At 49.8% G+C, this 24986-nt stretch overlaps 1 long non-coding RNA gene across 1 annotated transcript in view, besides 1 other annotated feature; it reads right to left on the bottom strand.

Annotated features, from left to right (window-relative positions):
* The window catches only part of B3GAT1-DT (B3GAT1 divergent transcript), a 69180-nt gene extending 52068 nt beyond the window's left edge, over positions 1 to 17112 (bottom strand). Inside the window, exon 1 of the long non-coding RNA NR_033852.1 lies at positions 16810 to 17112. This is a non-coding gene — a long non-coding RNA (B3GAT1 divergent transcript). The remainder of the gene's footprint in view (positions 1 to 16809) is intronic.
* Positions 14052 to 14552: an enhancer, noted in NCBI's record as "H3K4me1 hESC enhancer chr11:134308936-134309436 (GRCh37/hg19 assembly coordinates)". NCBI's record gives its function as "activates a minimal SCP1, AML or CMV promoter by ChIP-STARR-seq in primed H9 embryonic stem cells {active_cell/tissue: H9 hESC(primed)}" and the evidence as "EXISTENCE:reporter gene assay evidence [ECO:0000049][PMID:30033119]".
* Positions 17113 to 24986: the final 7874 nt, after the last annotated feature.

The raw sequence follows: 24986 nt of genomic DNA, 5'->3' as shown, positions 1-24986 counted from the left end.
GCTGGAAGAGGTCATGGGCTCACCCTCACCAGCGGCTCTGGTAGCCTCCTCCCCTGCTTTCCTTTCTGCATCCCTCCTAGCTCAAGCCTAAAATTCCCTTCTGCCCAGAGGCCTCTGCCTTTCTCCCTCTGGCATGCATAAGACCTGCGGTGCTGAAGCAGTCTCTGCAGAAGCTCGGCTGTCCCAGAAAGAGCCATGTTCATAGGCCCTGTTCAATGGCCTTTGCCACTGGGGGCAAAGCCATGGGACCTTCCTAAAAGCAGTTCTTGAGCAGGCACTCAGCAGACCTGGCGAGGGCTTGAGCTTCTCTGAACTGAGGTTTGAGCTTCCTCATCCGTAGATAAGAGGATGGAGATGGCTTCCAAACCATAGACCAAAAATGGCCTCTGTGGAGAGAGCCAAAGACAGGAGATGGAGGTTGTTGATGTTCACATACAACCTACGCATATTCCTCAGCAGAAGCCACGATCTTCAGCTTGGAGTCTCACACAGGGCCAGAGCTGCAGGGAGTATTTCTGCATCAGGATAGCTTAACACAACACAATTTGAAATGGCCTGGAATGAAATTAAATGGCAGTTTGGTTACACTTTAATCACCGCAGGCAGATCAAGATGCTGCTGTGATTACGACAAAGGAATCTATATTTATTGTCTTGTGGGGATTTGCATCGGAGATACAGTGATCTTTCTGCAAAGCACCCAATTTATTCATAAAGTTGTAGCCAGGCATTGCAACTGTGAATCATTCAAGTGTGTCTTCCTCCTGCCTGGCAGAGCCAAGAGCTGGGAACGGAGCCCCGTCCACTCAGCAGGCTTCTCTGGGTCAGGCCCTGGTCTGGTGAATTGGGAAAGGCCCGTGAATCCTTCCCTCCACAAACAGGGAGTGTGGTGAGTCTGGCAGAACCACTCTACACTCAGCTTGCCTGTGAGCAGAGAGGTTCTGACTTGTGCATTGCTGTTAGATATGGAGAGGAACAAGCACAGCCACTGAGTGAGAACCCCACAAATGCTGATAGACAAAGGCCCTCAGACCACTCCAGGACTCAGGCAAAGGGAAGCTTCAAAGGGCCTTTAATTCTTCTTGCCTGTGCCCACGTGTGCCTCGTGATTGAAAACGTCTGCACTGAACAGGCTTTCACAAAACGCCTACACCATGCCAGGCTGCAGGCTGGAAGAGGGTGGGAGGGTGGGGAATGCGGTTACAAAGGTGGGTAAAATGCCATCCGGCAGGGGATCTCGTGCAGGCTAAGCCAGGCAGGCTCTGAGACTCTGGGGCTGCAGCGTGGGCCTGTCAAGCAGACCTGTGCAGGGGCCTTAGGCAACAACTGGAGAAGGAGCCATCCTTAGCTTCCAGGTGGCCTGACAGCCTGTGCAGGCGCCTTAGGCAACAACTGGAGAAGGAGCCATCCTTAGCTTCCAGGTGGCCTGACAGCCTGGCATGGGGCAGGAGGAAGCTCATACGGGGAAACTCAGCCAGCCAAGCAGCCCAGACCCCACTTACCCTGCATCCACCCTCCCCAGGGTGTCAGGAGCAGACTCAGACCCACTCAGAAGAGCCGCTGGTGCCCATCCCAACCCCAGGATCTCAACGTCAGCCATGGTGAGGGTATTTACACCACTGAAACCAGCATCATGCCCATCCCAACCCCAAGGTCTCAACATCAGCCATGGTGAGGGTATTTACACCACTGAAACCAGCATCGTGCCCATGCCAACCCCAAGGTCTCAACGTCAGCCATGGTGAGGGTATTTACACCACTGAAACCAGCATCGTGCCCATCCCAACCCCAAGGTCTCAGCGTCAGCCATGGTGAGGGTATTTACACCACTGAAACCAGCATCGTGCCCATGCCAACCCCAAGGTCTCAGCGTCAGCCATGGTGAGGGTATTTACACCACTGAAACCAGCATCGTGCCCATCCCAACCCCAAGGTCTCAGCGTCAGCCATGGTGAGGGTATTTACACCACTGAAACCAGCATCGTGCCCATCCCAACCCCAAGGTCTCAGCGTCAGCCATGGTGAGGGTATTTACTCCACTGAAACCAGCATCGTGCCCATCCCAACCCCAAGGTCTCAAGGTTAGCCATGGTGAGGGTATTTACACCACTGAAACCAGCATCTCTAAACCAAGGCTTTTCTTGCCTGCCAGGTTATAAGCATTTATCAGTATACCACGGCCCTCCCTGCAACCCTGCTCCCAAGCCTGAGTGGTTAGAATAAAATAAACTCTGGTTTTCTCTTACCTATTCTTAAACTTATTTAGAGACACACTGTCATTAGGCCAGTGAAGAGCTCTGTCCACTAGAATAGAATCTGGAAACATGTCCCACCCACCCCCAAGGCATGAAAGGAAAGTGCCCTGTCCCCCAAGTATGCAGCTCCCGCCTGTGGTGGGGAAACTACAGATAAAAGTGAATGACTGGCCCGGCATGGCGGCTCACGCCTGTAATCCCAGCTCTTTGGGAGGCTGAGGCAGGTGGATCATGAGGTCAGGAGATCTAGACCATCCTGGCTAACATGGTGAAACCCCATCTCTACTAAAAATACAAAAAATTAGCCGGGCGTGGTGGCGGGCGCCTGTAGTCCCAGCTGCTCGGGAGGCAGAGGCAGGAGAATGGCGTGAACCCGGGAGGCGGAGCTTGCAGTGAGCCGAGATCGCACCACTGCACTCCAGCCTGGGTGACAGAGTGAGACTCCATCTCAAAAAAAAAAAAAAAAAAAAAACAAAAAAAAAAGGTGAGTGACCACAAAAGTGAACTCTGTGTGTGTGTGTGTGTGTGTGTGTGTGTGTGTGTGTGTGTCTTTCTCTTTCTGTCTCTCTCTCACACACACACACACGGAACAAATTTACTGATCACTTACTGTGTGTAAGACAGGATACTTTATGCAATTATTCAAGGACTTTAAATGATTACATTATTTATCCCTTCTAGCAATCAAAGAAATATACAGTGGTTTCTGCCCCTCTTATAGATGAGGAAGCTGAATTTCCCACAGTGAGTAGGAGCCAGGGTAAATCAATGCTGTGGAGCTGGGTTCTAATCTTGGAGGCTCCCCAGAAGCCCCCTCAGGGTACAGAGAGGCCCTGAGGGTGTCCCATTGTGTGAGTAAACACAGGGAACCTGGTTTGCCCCCAAACAAGAACGCGGCAGAAGGCTTCCTGTCGGAGCGTTGGATACCAGGGAAAGACACTGGTTTGCTGCCGTAGGCACCAGCAGTTTCCCTTCTCCAGGTGCTGAGTCCACTTCCTCCTTCCTTTAGCTCCTGCCCCTGCCCAGGTAGCATCCCAGCCTCAGAAGCGATTAAGCCATCCAGACCCGCTCTGCAGGTTAGTCACTAAAGAGGGTTCAACAGGCACTGGGGGCAGACACTCAAGACATCCAGGGTTATGGGCAGCCATGGGCTGTCTGAGCTGTCGTTTAGCGATAGACTGTAATTCTAAACATGGTGTTCGTTATTCCACTGTGTGGCTTCTAATTAATTTCCAGAAATGCATTGTTGAGGGATGATGGGTTGTGCTGGAAGAACCACTAATACTGCTCATTCATCGCTGCCCATGTGCGGCCGAGCCCAGAGCCACTGACTCCGGAGACCCTGGGCTGCACTGCAAGGACCCGAGGTGACTGCTCCATGCCTGGTAGTGATGATGTCAGTGGCACCACCTCACCTGAACCTGCAGGGGCACATACCTGGGTCCTTCCAGGTACCACCGTTGCCACAGACAGGAAGGTGGCGCCAGAGGATGTCCCCCTGAGTAGTGAAGGATGCCCAAAGTAATTGATCAAATTTTGTGAAAAGGAAATTGCTTGGGGTGGATATAAGGTCCTGCACATGGGGCTGCAAAAGCCAGTCACATGAGCACAGGGAAAAGGTTGAGTTGACAGTGAGAGTCACTAGGTAGGCAGCAACCAGCCACCTAGAAAGCTGGTGCAAAAGATAGTCTGCATAAAGAAAAGCAAGTTATCTCTAAATATAACTTTGTTTTACATGGGTCACACTGCTCAATTCTAACCAACCTATTTAAAAAGATTATATTAGGGGTTTCCGAAGAAACAGAACTATTTTAAGGAATTGGCTCAAGCAATTACAGGGGGTTGTAAGTCTGAGATCCATAGGGCAGGCCAGCAGGCTGGAAATTTAGGTAAGCGTTGAATCCCTCCTTCTTCAAGAAACCCTAGGTTTTGTTCCTAAGGCCTTCAACTGACTGGATAAGGTCCCCCACCCCACATTATGGAAGGTAATCTGTTTTATTTCTTTACAGTCCACTGATTGTAAATGTTAATCACAACTACAATATCCAACTGCAATATCCAGACCAGTGTTTGACCAAACAGCATGCACCATAGCCCAGCCAAGCTGACACAATAAACTCCCAAAGAAACATTAGCATATCAGCCTGAATTCTTTTTGTAAGACACTCCCAAATGTATTGCATTGTTTTACATGCTACTTATTTTAAAAGAGATTGCCAATTAAAGTAGGACATGAGGCATTCTTATGACAATTTTTATTTTATATTTATTCAAAGAGTTGTTTGGGCTTATTTGGGTAATGCTCTTTCTTTTTCTTTTTTTTGAGACGGACTCTTGCTCTGTCGCCCAGGCTGGAGTGCAGTGGCGTGATCTCGGCTCACTGCAACCTCCGCCTCCTGGGTTCACGCCATTCTCCTGCCTCAGCCTCCCAAGTAGCTGGGACTATAGGTGCCCACCACCATGCCTCGCTAATTTTTTGCATTTTTAGTAGAGATGGGGGTTTCACCATGTTAGCCAGGATGGTCTCGATCTCCTGACCTTGTGATCCGCTCGCCTTGGCCTCCCAAAGTGCTGGTATTACAGGCGTGAGCCAACTTTTTCTTATATATACTCTTCTACATAGGTAAAAGGAAAAAATATCTGTAAAGTAAGGTAAGATATTCTTAAAAGTTCACATTCAGAATCAAAGTCTGCTGTACCACTTTTGCATTCAGAGCTGGTGATGTTCAGATCTTTCCACTCAATGTTGTCTCTGCATCACAAGTCTGGCTGGTGCCGTGTTTTATAGGAAACAATATGAGAACTAGAAGCCACTGGGAGCACTTAAGTGGGTTTTGCAATTATGTAGAGCTAGCCTACTTTTGACTCTTGCTTTGGGAATATTACTAAGCATGCCTAACTCACTATCACCCACAGCTGTCTGATTGCTAGGGCCTAGAAAATCCACCTGTATTGTCCTCTGGGTGGTTTTCTAGGCCACTGACACCCATTCTGCAAGTTTTGGGGCTGGAGCCTCTGATGTTTACTCAAGTGCCAGCAATGGGCACTCTTCATGGCCAACACCTAGATAAAGCCACTGTGAGGAGTGGTGGCATGTTCTTATTGCAAAGGTACTAAAATTCGGGAAGGAAATGACTATACCACACTAAGGAGACACATTTATACCAAGTGATGACTGAGGTCTTGCCATGTGGTGGCCACTGGCCTAAAGCCCCACACACGTGACCACATTTAACCCACACAGCAAACATATCGAGGGTGTGCTGCCATCGTGCCCAGCTCGCAGGTGCGATGAGAAGGAGCAGAGGGGTGAAGCGGCTTGCCCTGGTGTACACCAGCCAGGGAATGAAGCCAGCAAGTGGCCCAAGCCACCGCGCCACCTGTGCTAGGAGAGGATAGTGTCCACAGCGCTCCAAGCGCGCTCCTGGGAAGGGTTCTGATAATCCTACCCAAAACTGATGGGGGAACCCGAGACAGCAGGGCCTCGCAGCGGAAGGGCCGAGTCCGAGGCAGTGAGCGCCCCGCGCGGGCGTTTCTACCTGTGAGATGGCTGCGCTAGGGCTCCGACACCAGCCAGGGCCCCACGGAGGGAGCGAGGGCGCATCCAGTGCACCTGGCCCAAAGTAAGCTGCGTCAGCTCGCACGCAGAGAACCTGAAGACTGCTTCTGCTTCTCCTCTTCTGGGTGTAGGAATCCTTTGAAGAGGAAACTGGCACACATACCTCCCTGAATGAGGCACGGCTTCACACCAGTAGGAGAGAGAGAAAGTCAAAGTCTCTAGGCTGGGTGCAGTGGCGCACGCCTCTAATCCCAGCACTCTGGGAGGCTGAGGCAGGCGGACCTCCTGAGGTCGGGAGTTTGAGACCAGCCTGGTCTCTACTAAAAATACAAAATTAGCTGGGCGTGGTGGTGCACGCCTGTAATCCCAGCCGATTGGGAGGCTAAGGCTGGAGAATCACTTGAACCCAGGAGGTGGAGGTTGTGGTGAGCCGAGATCACACCATTGCACTCCAGCCTGGGTAACAATGAGCGAAACTCCGTCTCAAAAAAAAAAAATAGTAAAAAGAAACAGGTGAAAGAAAGTCAAAGTCCCAACTAACAACAAGGGTATGAATGTTTTGTTCCCCTGGATAAACACTATGAAATCATTATCGGCCTCAAAGATGTTACTAGACAAATATTGTATCTCCCTTTCACCTGATGAGTATCACAGGTCATCTCCTCTCCAGCCCAAGTGTCACAAGGCCTCTCACGACAGCTGACTGCAGGGAACGCCTGCAGGGGTCTCAAACTGAACTTCTGTATGAGCAAAAGCCTGTAATCGTCATGCGTTCAGAAGTGGGTATGTGTTGGTCCTCAGAGTCTGACTGGAGAGGATACTTCTCCCTTCTTCAAATGCAGTCCTTACAAATTACAGTTTTACTTTAAAATTCTGAGTATTTGGCTGGGTCCGATGGATCAGGCCTGTAATCCTAGCACTTTGGGAGGCCAAGGCGGGCAGATCACGAGGTCAGGAGTTCGAGACCAGCCTGGCCAACATGGCAAAACCCTGTCTCTACTAAAAATGCAAAAATTAGCTGGGCATGGTGGTGCACGCCTGTAATTCCAGCTACTTGGGAGGCTGAGGCAGGAGAATCGCTTGAACCCGGGAGGCGGAGGTTGCAGTGAGCCGAGATCATACCACTGCACTCCAGCTTAGGCAACAGAGCAAGACCCCATCTCAAAAAAAAAAAAAAATTCTCAGTATTTTTACCCTGACTCATTATCCAGTAGGGATTGGAGCCCAGGGGTCTATGGATCATAATAACTAGAGGGGCTGTTGAACTCAGGACTTTAGGGAGATAGCAAAAGGGTTTCTGGAGAATGCCTGAGGCCACATTCTGTAAGGGGAAATACATAGTTTCTCCCACAAGGCGACATGCAGTGACTATAAAGACACTGTATGGTTGTGGTGCCAGCTCCAGTTCTTCCTCACTAAGAAGACTATGTAGAATGTTTCTTTGATATTTACCGAACACCCTCTCAAGCCCTGTGTTTGGCAGCATCGTCTCTGATCCCATCTGGACCTCTTCTGGAGACCCAGGTGGACTGCACGATGCTGGGATGCCACCCTCTCCTCCACCTTCACTCGTGCAGCTCAAAGCACAGCTGTTGATACCATGGTTTTACCTGCCGACACCTGTCAAAGGCTCAGCTCGCCTTCTCACCTTCTGCAAGTGCAGCCGCTTTTGTCTCTCTGAACCTAGCTCACTGAATGTGTACCTGGGTGTCCTCCCACCCACCACCACCACCAGCCCTTTCTCTCCCAACTGCTGGCCCTGTCTCACCCAGTGAGTTCCAGAGTAGGCGACAAGATTGGGCTACTGAAATGGTTCTTGGGCAAGTCACTTTGTGAAAAGGGAAAAACGAACTCTCCCACACTCAACATAGAATGCTTCTGTGACCAGATGTGTTTGCGGTTTTCCCTGCATGCCAAGCAATTCTGCAGTGGGCACCAGCTGGGTGTTCAATAATTCAATCCCGACACTGTCATCCGGAGATAGCATCAGATCCCACAGGTTTCCGGCTAAGTCACACGGGGTTGCCCTGCTTCAGATGCCACTTGCAAGTGTCAGACTAGGGCCTGTGTGTCTGACAAACTCACTATAAATCAGGGACCCCACAACCCCCCGATGGATCTGATCATTTGCTAGGACGGCTCACAGACTCGGAGAAACATTTTATTTAGGTTTGCCAGTTGATTATACAGACTGAATATTGGTTCACAATTACAAAGGCTACAGAACAGCAGCCAGATGCAGAGGTGCACAAGGTGTGGGGGTTGTGGAGGACGCACATTGCTGCACCCTCTCTGGGTGCCCCTCTCCAGCACCTGCACATGGTCAGCAGCCTGGGAGCTCAGCAGCCTGCGAGCTCATCTAATGGTGTTGCTCAAGTTTTTACCGAGATGAGGCCAGGCACCAAGGCTCACGCCTGTAATCAGGAGGCCGAGGTGGGCAAATCACCTGAGGTCAGGAGTTCAAGCCCAACCTGGCCAACATAGTGAAACCTTGTCTCTACTAAAAATACAAAAAAAATTTCCAGGCATGGTGGCAGGCACCTGTAATCCCAGGTACTCAGGAGGCTGAGGCAGGATAATGGCTTGAACCTGGAAGGCAGAGGTTGCAGTGAGCCTAGACCAGGTCACTGCACTCCAGCCTGGGCAACAAGAATGAACTATGTCTCAAAAAGGAAAAAAAAATGTTTTTACCAAGATGAGTCTCCAGGCCGGCTTCCCTTCACAGGGGCTCAAAGTCCTAAGCCTCTGATAGGGTTTGGCTCTGTGTCCCCACCCAAATCTCATCTTGAATTGTACTCCCATCATTCCCATGTGTTGTGGGAGGGACCCAGGGGGAGATGACTGAATCACAGGGGAGGTTTCCCCCATGCTGCTTTCATGGTAGTGAGTAAGTCTCACCAGATCTGGTGGTTTATCATAGAGGAGGTTTCCCCCATGCTGCTCTCGTGGTAGTGAGTAAGTCTCACGAGATCTGGTGGTTTGTCATAGGGGAGGTTTCCCCCATGCTGCTCTGGTGGTAGTGAGTAAGTCTCATGAGATCTGGTGGTTTGTCATAGGGGAGGTTTCCCCCATGCTGCGCTCATGGTAGTGAGTAAGTCTCGCGAGATCTGGTGGTTTGCCATGGGGGAGGTTTCCCCCATGCTGCTCTGGTGGTAGTGAGTAAGTCTCACGAGATCTGGTGGTTTGTCATAGGGGAGGTTTCCCCCATGCTGCTCTCGTGGTAGTGAGTAAGTCTCGCGAGATCTGGTGGTTTGTCATAGGGGAGGTTTCCCCCATGCTGCTCTCGTGGTAGTGAGTAAGTCTCGCGAGATCTGGTGGTTTGTCATAGGGGAGGTTTCCCCCATGCTGCTCTCATGGTAGTGAATAAGTCCCGCAAGATCTGGTGGTTTGATAAGGGGAAACCCGTTACCCTTGGCTCTCATTCTCTCTCTTGCCGCTGCCATGTAAGAAGTGCCTTTTACCTTCTGCCATGATTGTGAGGCTTCTCCAGCCACGTGGAACTGTAAGTCCAATAAACCTCTTTCTTTTGTAAATTGCCCAGTCTCAGGTATGTCTTTATCAGCAGCATGAAAACAGACTAATACACTCTCTAATCACTCAGGGAGCATATTAATGCCCATGGGGCATTTCTGGACTTCTCTACTCTATTCTTTAGGGGGCTTTCTGATGCACCCTACATACACAGAGGCCCTGAGGATGGCTAGCTCAGTGATGTCCCCTTGGAGAAGCTCTGCTTGCCTGGCCACTGCCCCAGGCCCTCACTCCAGTTGCTTGGTATCAGTGTCCAAATAAATGGATTGTTGCCAAGCCCTTCTCTTGGGCCCTTTTTGGGAAAAACCTAGATAAGACAAGGACTAGAGGACTAGAGTGTTACAGATTAGGATTCCAAATGCAGAGAAGAGAAGGCTCAAGCCATTGGGGTAGGGGGGATGTCAGAGAGGGAGCAGAGGGCAGAAGAGAGAGGCTCTGCTCAGCCTGCTTTATCAGGCAGGAGAGGGAGGATTGCTCTGGTGCAGACAAGGCCTCTTCCAAGAGGGCCTCGGATTGCCAGACAGATGAGTGTGGCTTCTCTACCTTGGAGACTCTAGGGACAGCCCATGCTGTGAGCTGCCTCTGGAGATTCGAATTTGATCCAAATGACTGACCCGGAAAACAGGATCTGGCCCCTCACCTGTTCCCTACTGCTTCTTAAACAAACGTGAAGCACATTTCTGCTGCCTGAGGGTGCTCACTACCAGTAATGGTGAGAGGTGAAAACCAAAGGGGAACCCAAAGATTGACAGTGACTCACAGAAGTCCCGCAATCCTGGTATGTGGAAGGCTTGGTGCCTGCCTTCCCCTAGCCCAGGCCTGCGCTCCTACCACAGTGACCTTTGCTTCTCAAGGCCTGTCTCTCCCACAGTGATGAAAAGAAACTCCAGCGAGGCAGGAGGATGCCAGGAGAAGGTGATATCCCCAAGACAGGGAGGAAGGTGGCAAGAATAAGGGCCACCATCAGGGTGCGATCTCACAGAGAGGCTGAGGGAGAGGAGGGCCAATGACATGCAGTAGACTTGGCGTTTCTGTCTCTGGTGACCTTTGAGAAGGCAATTTCTGTTTTGTGGGGAGTGCGGGACCCAGATGGTGAAAAGTTGAAGGCTGAGGGGGCAAGGAGGACCACAGGGAGCACTAGGAACCCAGGCAGTGAATTAGAGGGAGCAGCAGCAAAGTAATAAAAGGGGGCAACAGAGATTGTATAGACAACAGGGACCCGGGGAGTGTGTCAGAGGGGAGATGTGGGGGAGTGATGTGTGGGAAGTGCTGGAGAGAGAGGACCTACATAAGGGGAGTCTGCTGAGTCCCAGCTGCCTCCCACAGCAGGCTCGGCAGTCCCCAGCAGAAGAGATCTGTCCTGTTCTTTATCCACAACACCCACACCCACCACCAAATACAAGGTGGTGCGCAAATACCTGCAAATGAAAATGGAAGGAAAGAAAGAGAGGGGAGGGAAGTGAGGAATAGAGAATTTGAGATATAAAAGAAGAGAAATGGAGGTTCTACTGAATAATCTCAACTTCTGCAGATGACCAGGAGAAAAACGTCATCTGCTCAAAGATGCAGCAGGTGGGGAAGTGCTAGAGGGTTCAGCAACCTGGGGAGGCTGTGGAGACCCCTGTGAGCGATATGCTAAGGAAAGCTTCCCAGCGGGGAGCTGGGGCAGATCAGAGGGCCAGAGTACTGTCAGCCACCAGACCTGAGGACAGAGGACCTGGTCAGCACCTGCAGCTCTAGCGGCCCCGCTGTGGCATCTCAGGGTGGCTCAGCACACTGCGGCACAACGGGACCACCAGCACGATATGTGCGGCCAAGGGGGTGCTCCGCCGCCACCACACCTCTCCAGCAGCTGGGCCCCTGGTCAACATAGGAGGAGTCTGTGCCAGCACCCAAGGGCCCAGCCTGTGAGTGGGGCTGACAGGGGCTTCTGGCAGGTGCAGCTGTATACAGAGGCCCTAGTCTCCCTACCCACACCCTGGGTCCATCTGCCTGCTTGTGTCTGTCTGATGTGCCCTTTGGTGGTGTCTGAGCTGGCAGCAGGGAGCACACTAACTGCCCTCACAGTGCACATGCATTCATTATTTCAAAATACTTAATATAAAAAAGTCCAATAAGAAATCCGTTACAAGAAATTTCGACATTACTTTTGTCGGCCAAAGAAAAGGAAGAACTGTTTGAGACCTTAAATATAAATTCAACTGTCATAAATCTCTGAATGTTTGTTTAAAAAAATGGTTTCAAAAATTTCTCACCCACTTGTGTGAACAAAGTTTCTAGTCAATGGTGCCTATCAGGAAATTGAACAAATTATCACTAAGTCCGAGGCATAAATTGCACTGTAGGCATTTTTTTAAGCATCAAAACGGGTACTTCAAAAAGGTTATGCTCAGGAAAGCCCTCAATTTTCTCATTTAAATACTTTTATAGATTTCTAGAACTCTCACACAAATTTATTTTTAATATCTTTTTTAAACTGTGTGCTTTAACATTTTTCACCAACCTTTTAATGTAAAAAAATGTAATGAATATTTTGACCGGGTCCCACACAGAACCCCAAGTCCCCTCCACTTTGCTGCAGTGCAACCCTCGAATATTGTTTTCTGTGCATGCCATGACATGAAAAAGCAGCAAGCTTGGGAAGCTCTGTGGAATCAGAGAGAAATGAATAAAAGATGATGTGCATGTGCAGAGCCAGGACAGCTGCGATTCAACAGCCTTCCCAGGAGAGCCTGCGTGTGAGGAGCAGCTCCCCGGGTGGGAGCCGCACTGCGGGAAAAGCAGGGGGCTGCAGAGGCATGACCCTGAGGCACAGTCATGGGCGGTGTAAGCCAGCAGGCCTGGGTGGGGACAGAGGCATGTAGGGTTTGTTGGCCTTGCCTGGGAGCCTGGTGAACGCTGCAGAGCCAGTTGCGTGTACCTATCTGCTCTTACCCCTTGGGACAATGCTCCCAGGCTTTTGCAGACACCCCTCCCTGAGACATGACCACGTGTCCCTCCCATATACAGGGTTTCTATTTTAGAAGTGCTCCCTCTCACCCAGATTTCAGCCACCTGAAATGTCTCTGTATTCCCTTTTCCAACTGTGACCTCAGTGTGTACACATCAGCCTTATAAAGCACCCATCCACAGATGCCAAATGTAAACCCGGAAATCACAGGTTGTGGGGGCTGCCCCACACGATGGGAAATGCTCCGGCCAGAGACTTGGGCTGCATCTTGTTTGGGCCGCTGTCCAGCCAGGGGAACCCTGGCCACCCAGTGTTTCTTTTCTGCCCTCAGAGTCCTCACTTGTAAAACAAAGGGGTTTTACTAAATGATCTTTAAGGCTCCTTGTAGACTTCATATTTTCATTTTCTGAGGTAATCAACATCCAAAATATTTAACTTAAATTCTGGTTGATATCACTGGATCAAATCACTAGAATGCTATCCCCTTGAGAACAGAAACTATAACTGCATTGTTCAAGGCTGTGTCCCTGGTGTTAAGAACACATCCTGGCATGTAGTGGGGGCTCAGTAAATATTGGAAGGAAGGATGGATGGATGGATGGATGGACGGATGGATGGATGGGTGGATGGACGGATGAGTGGATGGATGGATGGATGAGTGGATGGATGGATGGATGGATGGATGGATGGATGGATGAGTGGATGGATGGATGGATGAGTGGATGGATGGATGGATGGATGGATGGATGCATGGATGAGTGGATGGATGGATGGATGGATGGTTGGATGGATGGATGAGTGGATGGATGGACGGATGGACGGATGGACGGATGGATGGATGGGTGGATGGGTGGATGGATGGATGGATGGGTGGATGGATGGATGGATGGATGGATGGATGGATGGATGGGTGGGTGGGTGGATGGATGGATGGATGGATGGATGGATGGATGGATGGACGGATGGACGGATGGGCGGATGGATGGATGGACGGATGGACGGATGGGTGGATGGATGGATGGACAGATGGACGGATGGACGGATGGATGAGTGGATGGATGGATGGATGGATGGATGGATGGATGGATGAGTGGATGGATGGATGGATGAGTGGATGGATGGATGGATAGATAGATCCACCCATCTATCAGTCCATACATGATAGATGCTTGGGGGGGATGGACACCCCCCCTCACCCTGATGTGATTATTACCCATTGTATGCCAGTATCAAAATACCCCACACACCCCGTAAATATCTATACCTACTATGTACCCACAAAAATTAAATATTAAAAAGAAACGGCAGCTCCTTCCCATCCCCCATGCCCTGGCATTTCCTGCCCTCTGGTTCTATTGTCCTTTCCTGATCACCACCTGGGATCCTGTATCTCTTCCTTTTGTATTTGTTTACTGCACATCTCCTCTCACCAAAATCTAAGCTCTATGAGGGAGCTTTGGTCTGTCTTGGTCTAACTGTAACTCCACTGCCCACAATGGTCCCTAAAACCAAAGGGGCACTCAGGCACATCTGAGAACGTCCATCATTTATTTGAAGTCATTGTTAAGTGCTTACTCTCAGGGCCGCTGCACCCCCACCTGTAGGAACTTGGCACAGTCCTGGCGAGCGGCAGGGGCCCTGGACCCTGAGCTGGGGCAGGAAACACAAGAATCAAGCAGTCTCTGCCCTTGAGGACGGGATATCCTGTGGGGAGGTGGACACTACACCACATGAGGGCAGCATGGTGGGGTGGGCACCAATCCACACAGTGCAAGCTACCATGAGACACGCCTCCCGATCACTGTGTGTGTTAGGTGGCATTGCAGGCGCCCTGAATGTCCCCAGCCTTGACAGCCACATGCAGTCAGCAAAGGCCACCTCCAGAAGGCGCAGAAGGCAGGCATGTGATGACTCAGAGCATTTTCCAAGAGCAGTGGCAGAAAAGCAGCCCAATGTTGCCACCACCTGTCACAGCCTGGGTCGGCCCATTCGAGGCAGCCAGTCATACACCATCCATCAACAGGGAGTTGGGTCCCACATCCCCCTCCCTACTCCCCAAAAGACAACCAGAGCCAAAGCTGGCAACGGCTGCCACCTCTGCACTGCGTCAGTGAACAGACCCAGCTACATGGGAAGAGGGGTACTTGTCACCTTTTGTGAGGGTGTCTCTCAGCTTGGCTTCAAAACCCACATTCCCACCTCTTATCTCCTCCTGGAGACACAGTACACAGCTAACATGAAAGCAATTAATTGAGGCCTTTTACCAGACCAATGCGCGTTTCACTCCATGTAGTACCAAGTTAATTATTTAATAGCACAGAAATGCCAGCAGCCTGTGTGGGCTGAGGCTGCCGTGAGCAGCAGAGAGAGCATCTTTTCCACTCCTCTTCATTGGTAAGGAGGCCACAGGTCGCACTGCCCAGGGGCCGAGTCCACACCTGGAAGGGCCCACGCCTTCTGCAGTCGGCACCTCCCCCCGGGCAGCCAAGCAGGCTGGACTGTGGACTCTGCCCAAGGTAACTGCTCATTTGTTTTTCCCACTGTATGGACGAGGAACCGAGCTCTTCCTCCATGATTCAGGAGGGCAAAAGGGGCAAGAGCCCTGCTGGACTCTACGCCTCCTACCACAAGTGGGTTGCCTTCAAGAGGACTCATGGGAGAACAAAGGCAAGGCCGGTGCCAGGCTTGCAGTCAGTGTGCCAAGTGGATGAGCATCCCTTCAGTCCCAACGGCCAAGCAGGCAGCTAGCACAGGCCACGGGAGTAAAATCGCAACAAGTAGACAGCATTCCCGGGAGCACTGCAGGGTCAAGAAGAAATTTAAATCAAGTCTGTGCGCTCAGAGATGACAAACTAGTTGGGAAAACACGTCTTATGCACGTGAGTGTATACGCAACCACAGAAGCCATACACAAAACACCAAGTACACGACCCAACAGGTCAGTCCTGGGAGACCAGAAGACACCAAGCTGACAGCACACTAAGGCAGGCAGGGAAGGCTTCCCGGGGAAATGGAGATGAGGTCGGGCGGTCCCACAGCCAGTAAGTGTTGAAGCTAGGTTTTGAACTCAGGGAGTCCAGCTCCACAAAGCTCATCAAATTGTGATTATTCATCACTGTCTCTATGTCTTTACAAGTGCTGTCTTTTTAATTATTACTATACGTCACTGTGACATCAATGGGGCTTTCACAGAAAACAACCACCTGGAACGCAACGCCCGCGAATCAAAACTGTTGGTCCTGTTCCTGTTCCCCTCTAGTCCAATCTCTGCCTTGGTACAACTGTTCCCATGCTGTTTGGCCCACAGCTGCTGCTGAAGCCCGACCAGCCTGCCCATGCCAGCCCCTGCCAAGGACTCCCAGGCCCCCTTGCACCCAGCGACTGGAAAGGTAATGCCTAACGGCCCAACATCTTTAGAGCTGTAATCTGTCACCTCGCAGAGGAGTGCTGATGGTGCCCAGACAGACTGCTCAGTTATGCCTCTGGAGTGGGAGGTGCAGGAGGTCACCATGGGCTTTGTGCGGAACCAGGAGAAGCAGCCCTGGCTGTGAGATCAGGCCTGGCGAGGACAGCTCCTGCAGTGCCAGCTCTGCACCACCTCCAAGTGCTGCTGCCTCTGGCATGGGAGGTGTTATCATGGACACCATAAATGTGGGACCTTCAGGACTGGTGACAATTTTGATGGGCTGCACTAAAAAATCTGTAAAGGTGGTTAAGATTTAGCATGACTGACTGCCTAAATGCTTCCTTTCATGTGTCTATAAAAGTGATATTATCAAAGCGGAGCTCTGGGACGATTAATCTGGTTGCAGTTCTCAAGGAGTCCAGGCAATATTACTGCCAGGCCTGGAGGTGTGACCGGGGGGTGTGGGTCAGTGTGGCCATGGCCCTGGCAGGGGCAGCGGGGAAGGAGGGTGAGCTAAAGACGCTGGGTTTCATTTTGAATATGTTGAGTTGGAGGAAGAGGTCAGCCTGGAACTTAGGAGCGATGGAAGAGCCAGCATTCTTGCCTTAGCTTGGGGGTGAGGTTCCCCTTGCTCACTGCAGTTTCTCAAGGCCCGAGGCTTTGCGCTGTGGAAAGAAGTCTGAAATTTCAGGGACAGGGACAAGTGTTGCATGGGAACCTCCATGGGAAAGACAAGGTGGTAAGGAGAGGTCTTTGGGGCTGCCGCCTCCCGACCCCCACTGAAGACAGAAAGGAAAAGGGGCCAGAGGGAGATTTGTCTGGGGAGTAACGGGCAAACTGAGAATGCCATCCGCTGCAAGCTACAGCCACCCTGGGCTCTTCACACGTAGACAGAGCCGCCCCCTCCCATCAAGCGTTGCGGGCCAGCACTGCAGGACCCTGGCCTACAAAGGCAATGGGCCTGTGGCTGGCGTCACCCTCCCTCTGGGCAGCCGTGCAGGCACCCACAGGCCCTTGTGACTTTGGTCTTTTGAGAACTATGACAGTTCTGCCTGTAAGGTATGTTTTTTCTCTGTTTCTTTCTCAGCCACCATCACCAAGCTACTTACCACTTAGAAAGGGGAGTAAAAGTCAGGCCTGGAAGCAAACCCCGAGGAAGGCTGGGCTCAGCCTGTTGTGGGCATGGGAGGGCCTCTCTGCCTGAAAGCCGTGAGAGGTGAAGTCCAAGGATGGTCACTGAGGCCTCAAAGGTCTCCTCACTGTGCCACTGAGTCAGATCTTGAGTTCATCCAGGCTTGTGGGGACCCAGAGGACAGAAGATCATGGCTGTTGCCACCCATCTAGAAAATTGAGCCTCTTTCCACGTGTCCTTGGCCTGTGAGTACAAGCTGTCTGATCTGTTGATTGGAGGCTTGAGACAGAACACAGACACAATCCCATCAGGAATTTTCCAGAAGCCTCTGAGATGCCCCCTCCACCCACAATGCCCGAAATAGACAGCTCCCTCAGCGAGCAGACCTCTGGGGTCACAGACCATTTATAAAGGAGCGTGGTGCTCACTAATGCGGCTTTGGAGCTACAGCAAAGCGTAGCAAAAGCCTTGGGAAAAGTTCAGAGTGAGATTAGATCGAGGCTTTCTTGTCTGGGCAAGGCGAGGAGGCTGCCGTCACCTGGCTGGCGGGGAGACCTTAACCCCATGAACTTCAGAGTCTGGCCCCTTGGCCCAGTGCACCCTGGGAAATCCCCTGACTGCTGCACTGGGGAGTGACTGTGGTGAGGGACGTGTCCTCCCCCAGGGCCTCTGCCCTCCATTTGCCTCACAACCCAGGGCCCAGCACAGTCGGGATCACCAAGGTTAGAGCTGTTTCCTCCTCTCAGAACCACAGAGGGGGCCCTGAAAGTGCAAGATTGGAATGCCACTCCAAATGCCACGTGGCTTCCCTGGGACCCACTAACTGGGCAGCAGGGACCTCAGTGCTCTGGGAGGAGTTGGTGGTCCTGACGCTATGCACCCCTTTGGGCAGAATGACCCCCAGGGGACAGAGGCAGCGAGGGGCATCACTCAGATTACCTGGTGGACCCTCACACACCACTCTCATTAAATAGGTAAGAGAATAAAAGCTCAGAAAGGTTCGGTGAGCTGTCAAGACATATGGGGCAAGCCCGTGTTCTAGCCCAGATCTGTGTGAGGTTGAAGCCTTTGAAGGAAGGGCATGGCCCATGAATAAAGGATGTAGCCAAAGGGATCCAGAAGAGGTAGGCTTCAGAATTCCACCCACTCATGGACAGCCAGGTCCCAGTGAGGGCCAAGAAAGACCAGCTCCCTACACCATGAGCCTGGCTGAGGAGCCAGCCTGGAACCCTGGGAAGGAAGGGATCTGTGCTCCATTTGGGCACGCAGAATCATGCCTGATCCCAGACAGACTTTATGTCATCAGCTTTTCAGCTTTACTCTCCAGGATGGTGGATTTGATAGAAGAAGGAATTGTCTGGGTTGTATGTCCAATATGCAATTGTATTGTATATGGGACATCCTAGTTCTCGCTCCTCTGCCCCATCCCAGCTGCTTCCCTATGAAATCAGCAGTGGTTCCCCCGACCCGCCCTCCCCTGCTCTCTCCCATCACCCAGGCACTGCAATCTCCCACTCCATCTCCTCATCCCTTTACCCTGAGCCCCTTTCTGGTGGCCCCCAGATATATCCCCAGGGTTTTTTTGTTTTGTTTGTTGTTGTTGTTGTTGATATTGTTGTTGTTTTTGAGACAGAGTCTCGCTCTGTCACCTGGGCTGGAGTGCAATGGTGCGATCTTGGCTCACTGCAACCTCCACCTCCTGGGTTCAAGTGATTCTCCTGCCTCAGCCTCCCAAGTAGCTGGGATTACAGGCACCCACCACCGTGCCCGGCTAATTTTTGTATTTTTAGTAGAGATGGGGCTTTGCCATGTTGGCCAGGCTGGTTTCAAACTCCTGACCTCAGGTGATACACCCACCTCGGCCTCCCAAAGTGCTGGGATTACAGGTGTGAACCACGGTGCCTGCCCCCCGCCCCCAACCAACAGGATTTTTTGTACATTACAATGGCATGACCCAAACCCTTCCCAGGAGCAGAAAGGGCTGAGACTACCAGCCAGGTCCCACCCAGGGACCACCCTGGGAACCCTGGGCACCTGTACCCACCTCACACACTGCCTCTGACCGGGCACAAGAGCCAAGCCCCATGCACCAAGGATGGAAGAGAAAGCCTGGGAGATGTTCTCTCAGCAGGATCGCTGTCTTAGAGGCTGGACCTCTCTGTGGCTATGATGCCCCAGCAACTTTTATAAAAAGTTATCTCAGTGCCGTGCTGCTCTCAGAGTTGCTGGGATCAAAAGAACAGCTTTACTCAGGGGGAAAAGACAAGGGACCGAAATAGTCAGGATATATACAGCCAGTTGGACAGCGCGGCTCTGCTAAACTGGATATTTGGGTTTTGTTTTGTTGTGCCTTTTTTCTCTCCTTGCTGAGATGCTTGGAGGAGGTACTGTGGGGTGCAGACCACGCCACTCTGCAGGAGGAGGGAAGTAGGAGCCGTTGCTTCCTGATAAAGAGTCGGCAGAAACCACCTAGGTTGATACTAGGTCCTGAGCTCAGACCCCTGTCTTAGCAGGTAAGTCGGATGGGAAAATAGGCATTCTCCATTAGTAATGGGCTCTCCACCCTCTAGGACTATTCAGGTATTTGACTGCTGCTCCAATATGTCTCTACGGGCCACAGGTACACGTGCCATCCAGGTGCACAGACTGTAGGAAGACTCAGGCGTCTGCCCCTGCCACCTGCGGCTGCCACACGGAGTGACGCCCTGGGTGGGAGTCATGCCTCCTGTGAGGCGTGTCATGAAGGCGCCCGCCTGGGGACCGAGTCTGCACAAAAGTAAGGGGCCCTGCCCCCAGATGCAGACAAGGGTCTTCTCTGGACAGACATGGCCCCAGAAGGAAGTTCTCCTCTCTAAGGGTGAGAGGGAAATGGACCAAGCCCCTGCTTCTTTGTGACAGATTACTTGCAGGGATGGCAGTATTGAACAATAATGTTAATAACAAAGTTATCATTACATATATCACAATTAATAAAGCAATTTATATTTATTAGGCACCTGCTATGTGCATAGTACTCTGTATGCAATATGAAAAGAAAGCATAACATGGCCAACCTGTAATCTATAACACGTTAAAGACATCCTCAAAATGCCCTCAATTCATTCCTTATTCACTCATTGACTCCATATTTGATGGCCTCACCTATTTGACCCCAACACTGAGCTAGACATCTCCAGAGATGCTAAGACAAGGCAGATAGATTTTCTAGCCTTATAGGGAATACATTCTGATTAATTGACTCAAATTATGATGCACAAAAAGCCATTGTGGGTGCCCAGGGAAGGGCGTGACTACTGAGCTGCGCCTGGGAGTGTTCAGTAGGAGTTGGACAGCTGGAAAGGGGAGAAGAGAGTGTTCTATGGAAAGAGGACAGTATTATCATCACATTGGCAAGGGCAATGCAAACACAGTAACAAATAACTGGCCATAAAGGACAAAATGTGATAAATGTCAAATGAGTGTTTCACTTGGTAAGTGCCAGAAAATTTGGAGAAGAACGCCTGTTTGAATTGGGGTGATCAGGAAAGACTACACGAAGAAGGGGAGGTCATAAGGAGTAACCTGTGGAAAGGGGAGCATATTCCAGAAGAGGACAAGGTCAACGAGAGCCAAAGTTTAGGACACCTGGGACTGTGACCACAGAGTTAGGAGTTTATTCTTGGATTAAATCTGTCACTTCCATCACAGTCCTTAGCAACAGGATCATGGTTTCCTGCTTATGTGAGGGCTGTGTTTGTGGTGACAATTGCATCCTCTGTGCCTGCCCTAGTTCTTGCTGTGTATTAAGTATTCAATAAACATTTGTTGGACGGATGAAGGGATAGATGGATGGACAGATGTCATTCTTTATGGACATCACTTTTAATGGTCCCATAGTATTTTATTAGAAGGATATAACATGACAGAACATACTGAACAATAATACCATTGTTCAACCATAATTTTTGGACAATTCTTGTTTGTTAATTCATTTGCTGCTTGTATTTCCCACTAAACGATGAATTCCACGAAGAGCAGGAACTACATACATTTTATTCACCAATGTGTCCCCAACGTCTAATGCAGTGTTTAGAACATAACAGATCTTGGTATTTATTGAATAAATTATTTAAAGAAGGCATGAACATTTGGATTGTTTTCAACATATGGCCATTATAAATAACACTGTGGTAAACATTATTGTGGATGAATCTCAAAAAGAAAGGAGAATTATTTAATCAAATTGAACATGTATAAAAGCTTCAACATGTGTGTTCATAATGTTTCAGTTAAAGGCAGTGATTTATTCTTCCATCAGCAATTGCCATTTGAGAAGACTACTAGTAATCCTCAACACTTGAAACCAATTAAAAGTACGTCTTTTAAATCTTTGCTAATATTGTACATAAAAATAGTTTCTCATTTTTAACACATTTGTTTCTGGAAAGAATTTACATTTTTACTATGTTTCTTAGTCCTTGGCATTTCAAATTGTATGTATATAATCTTCTGTCCATTTTCCTACTGAGGTCTGTTCTAGTCCATTTTTGTTGCTATAAAGGAATACCTGAGACTGGGTAATTTGAAAATACAATAGGTTTATTTGGCTTAGGATTCTGCTGGCTGGAAGATCGGGCATCTGGAGACGGCCTCAGGCTGCTTCCACTCATGGCAGAGGTGAAGGGGAACTGGAGTGCAGGGATCACATGGAGAGAGAGGAGGCAAAAGAGACAGGAAAGATACCAGGCTCTTCTTAACAACCAGCTCTGCTAGGAACGAACAGAGGGATGACTCACTTGACCCAGGGAGAGCTATAATCTATTTATGAGGAATCTGCCCTCCTGACTCAAACACCTTTCACTGGGCCCCACCTCCCAAGACCACCACAGTACAGATTAAATTTCACCATGAGATTTGGAGCAGTCAAACACCCAAACTATAGCAGGCCCTTAATGTTTTTCTTATGAATATAATAAGTAAGAACCCTTCTCATAATTTATTATTTTTCTTTGATAGTTGTAACCTTTGCCTTTTCATTGTAGGATCCTTTTGATGTACTGATGTTTTTAAAAAATATATAGCCAAATCTGTTGTAAATAAATATCCATAAGCCATAAGGAACTTAAACAAATTAACAAGCAAAAAACAAGCAACCCCATTAAAAAATGGGCAAAGGACCTGAACAGACACTTCTCAAAAGAAGCCATACACACAGCCAACAAGCATATGAAAAAAATATGCTAAAAATATGCTCACCATCACTAATTCCATCATATTCGTGCCTGGAATGTCCTTTACACCTAGAGGCAAGCATTGACTTAAATTCTCACCTCTAATTTTAATATGTTTTTTCTCCCCTAGTCCCTTTTGCTTTGTGGTATGAATCAGGGTCCTAACATTTTCTATTCGCAAAGAAAAAGCCATTTTTCCCTGTGGTACATATTCAGGGGCCCCTCCCTCCCACTGAGTTGCCATTCTGCCTGTATAAAGGATGGTTGTTTGGGTGACCCTCAATAGATCTCTCACCTCTCTGAACAGCCGCACTGCCATGGTCAGTAATGATTTATGATATGTTCTGACATATGTTTAAGCAAGCCCCCTCATTCAACTCCTCTGTCATAATTCTTAGCTATTTTCACCTATATATTTTTTAGATAAACTTAACATTTATTTTTTCAAATCTTTTTGTTCTCCTAAAAAAAAAAAAAAACAGTTTAAGGAAAAGTTAAACTTCTAAGTTAATGTTGGAAGAATCGACATCTTCACGATCTCCAGTTTTCTCTTTCCCGCTGTTATTCAGGCTTTCCCTGCATGTGCTGGGTGGTGTTTGGGTGGGACGTGTGGGTAATGGGGGAGCACTCGGCCTTTCCTTCCCAGCAGGGCTTTTACCCCTGGAGGCAGAGTATGCCCATGCTGGCTTTGAGGGCTCTCTGAAGCTGTGGGATTCTCTGACAGAGCTGTGAGGATGAGATCCATACAGCAATTATTCAGCTAATTTACAATCTGAATGAACATTTTGATCTGAATTAATTTGGTAAATTGGGCCAAAATGAAGATGAGAAGCAAGATGTAGACAGTAGCAACATTATGGCATAATTTTTTCAACTAAAGAAAGAAGGACACCCATACACATGAACCCTAATCTCAGCCTGCCTGTGTGTCACCGGCACATGCAGAAGCACCCCCTCCCCTCTCCGGGCCTCAGTTTCGCATTTGCCAAGTGAAGAGTTTAAACCAGGTGGTCCCGAAATTCCTTTTTTCTCTGGGTTTTTACCAGCCAATTTGCAAACTATCATGTCTGCATTTGCTTACTGACTAACAAATTCTGGGAGGCCTCATTTACTGGCCCAATTGTATAACTCCAATTATATAATATACGATCTGAGTTCTGCATTACCATCTGTGGCTCTAAGGTCAAACCGAATACCCCAGACTTGCAGGAGATGACACACTTGTTAAGACACTGAATCGGCCTCCTGGTGCTTTTTCCCAATACTGAAGTACAAGCTGGAGAAAGACGGGGGAGTCTAAAGGGTCTCCCGCTGGCTACGGGTCTTTGGGACCAAGGCTGGATGACAAGGGCCCTAGCCATGGACACTGCAGGGAGGCCAGTGGCCTTTCAGGTGAGCCCGCACGCCCTGACAAATCCTAGCAGCAGAACCACGGGGATGTCCAGAAAAAGGGTCCTCGCTGCTGCACAGGTGAATTCTAATTCCGAGACCACCATGTACCCAAGCAGACAAGACGTTGCAGAGGACCCACCAAGTATGGTGCTGGATGAAGGAAATAAAATCACAGACCCCCCTGCAAGGCTCAATTGCACAGACCTAAGAGAGCTCCATAGAATCTCAACCCACAGGCGGAGAGCTGGGTGGAGATGCCATAGGAAGAGGAAAGGCGCAGTCGGACAGCCCTGAAGCCCAGTCTCCACTCACCACTCACCAGCTGTGCAACACTGAGCACATCGTTTGTCTTCCCTGAGCCTCAGTTTCTTAACTTATAAAATGGGTGTTATTAATTAAACGAGTTCGCAGAGGTAAAGTGCCTCACACATGGAAGGTAGTCAATACATGTTATTTTCTTCCTTTCTTTTTTTCCAAGCCAGACACAGAGATAAACCAGAAAGAGATGTGGTCCAAAAACAATGTCGAATCCCAGCTCCCCCACCTCCTAACAATGTAAATTTGATCCCCTCTTGAACCTTCCTTTGTTCACCAGTGAATGAGAAAAATAATACCCACAGCAAATAAGAAATCGGCGGTCATGAACGTTCTTTATCAACTGCAAAGTGTCGTGAAAAGGCAAGTGAAGACTCTCATTGTTAAAGAACAGAGGAGAGGAGAACCTGTCTACTGATTCCACGGAGCCTGCAGTTGCCGTGTGGCTGCATACGGGGTGACTTCATGGTAATTAGTTGCCCAATTCCCATCATTAGAGCGGATCCAGCAGGCTGCCTGGGCCTGGGAGCGGAGCCACTGTCTGCTGATCTAATGATGATGCTCCCGTGCTAACCTTCCCCCGGGGTGCTCTCCATCACTGGGCAGCAGGCAGACGAGCTATTTTCTGGTTTGGCTTTGCCTCTCACAGCTGGGCAGCCGCCTCTGGGCTGGAACCAGGGGACTCTTGTGGGATGGTTTTTTTTCACTGCAATGTTATTTTCTAGGAAAATAGGATCAGAGGTGGAAGTTGCACTCCCTGACTCTCTGAAAAAAAGTTAAATGTAGATGACATGCCCCTTGGGTCTATGGGTCTTGCATCTGTCATTCCCCCTGCATAGGACTCTTGTGCCCAGGCCCCCCTCCAGTATAGCTGCTCCTTGAAGACTCAGTTCCAGGTGCTCAGAAGCCTCTCTGCAAATTTGCCACATTGCATGATCTCTCCATTTCTAGTCCTCTGCCATACATGACAGTGAGCTCCTGGGGGGCAGGGACTGAATCTTGCTCTTGTTTGGGCCTCCAGTGCCTGGCTCATAGTAGGCACTCACCTTGAAAACAAATTCCAGCAAACCCAAGCTCCACTGGATGTCCATGTGCTGAGGACCTAGGTAGAGTGGCTGGTACTCGCTTTGGGAGTGAAAACGGAGCAGGAGGGAGCAGGAGGGAGCAGGAGGGAGCAGGAGGGGCGAACCTAGGGGCACCCACCTCACCTTGGGAGGGCCAAGGCCCTGCTTGGGCC

Source organism: Homo sapiens, chromosome 11, assembly GCF_000001405.40.
Source record: "Homo sapiens chromosome 11, GRCh38.p14 Primary Assembly".
Taxonomy (NCBI): domain Eukaryota; kingdom Metazoa; phylum Chordata; class Mammalia; order Primates; family Hominidae; genus Homo; species Homo sapiens.
Note: the sequence above shows the minus strand (reverse complement) of the source record. Positions and strands in the feature narration are given on the sequence as shown.